The sequence below is a fragment of the Homo sapiens genome, chromosome 14 (assembly GCF_000001405.40).
Source record: "Homo sapiens chromosome 14, GRCh38.p14 Primary Assembly".
Taxonomy (NCBI): domain Eukaryota; kingdom Metazoa; phylum Chordata; class Mammalia; order Primates; family Hominidae; genus Homo; species Homo sapiens.
Window position 1 is genome coordinate 43,257,342 of NC_000014.9, and position 1,454 is coordinate 43,258,795.

Genomic DNA, 1,454 nt, shown 5'->3' on the forward strand with positions numbered 1-1,454 from the left:
AGAACTAGAAATACCGTTTGACCCAGCCATCCCATTACTGGGTATATACCCAAAGGACTATAAAGCATGCTGCTATAAAGACACATGCACACGTATGTTTATTGCGGCACTATTCACAATAGCAAAGACTTGGAATCAACCCAAATGTCCAACAATGATAGACTGGATTAAGAAAATGTGGCACATATACACCATGGAATACTATGCAGCCATAAAAAAGGATGAGTTCACGTCCTTTGTAGGGACATGGATGAAATTGGAAATCATCATTCTCAGTAAACTATCGCAAGAACAAAAAGCCAAACACCGCATATTCTCACTTATAGGTGGGAAGTGAACAATGAGAACACATGGACACAGGAAGGGGAACATCACTCTCTGGGGACTGTTGTGGGGTGGGGGGAGGGGGAGGGAGAGCATTAGGAGATATACCTAATGCTAAATGACAAGCTAATGGGTGCAGCACACCAGCATGGCACATGTATACATATGTAACAAACCTGCACGTTTTGCACATGTACCCTAAAACTTAAGGTATAATAATAATAAAAAAAAGAATCCTAATATCTTCTTAAGCAATACATATATTCATAGATGAAGGGAAGGTCATATGTGGAATAAATGATGTTTCCCTTGATTTTCTTCTTTAAAATAGCATAAGGAAGAGGATATATTTTTGTTCTGAATTTTGATTTCCTGATTACAATTATTTATGTGTGAAATGGCATCAGACTTGACTACTCATACATAATAATATTAATATGTATGATATGCTTCTGGGAAACATAAAGCTTGTTAGAATTATATTTCTGATTGGCAATGAAAATGAATTAAAATGCTTTTACAATATGTTAAAAACATTTTATTAATATACATTTTACGTTACTATCATTTAAATATTGATATATTCTATTATGAATTTTAGTAGAAGTAAGTCATTAACTTGCATATGTTCCTTTAGGAATTGAAAAACAATTTTTAAAAGATTAAAAATAAAATATTTTTCATTTTAAATTTATTCTCATTAGGTTAAGGAATAATATACTTATCTTTATATTGACCTTAAAAATTTAACGGAAAAAACTGATTTTATTCTGTCCAAAATGTCATCAACAGAAACGTTTGACTGTCTAATATACATGACAATGATGTAAACTAATCACCTACTGACACTAAGCATATGCTTCTCCCTTTGCTTAGGGCAAAGATGTAGACAATACACATTTTCACAAACAAATGAATAAAATGGATTCACTGGTAAGAGACTCTTAAGAAAATACAAACCATGAATACAATAGTGTATGCTTGTCTGTGGAAAACTACAGAAGATATTGGGCAAGAGAAAGCTTAATGGTGATTAAGAGCCAGACACATGACTCTCAGATGTAAGAACAGAACAGGTACAGAGAGCACAAATGCAAATTATTGAGATAGAAACAACCTTTATATGTTTC

General features: G+C 32.9%; 1 annotated feature.

Moving 5' to 3' along the window:
- Positions 679–848: an enhancer, noted in NCBI's record as "experimental_33920 CRE fragment used in MPRA reporter constructs". NCBI's record gives its function as "activates a minimal promoter by MPRAs in K562 erythroleukemia cells, with activity observed for both the introgressed and non-introgressed 14:43727308 variant alleles {active_cell/tissue: K562}" and the evidence as "EXISTENCE:reporter gene assay evidence [ECO:0000049][PMID:34662402]".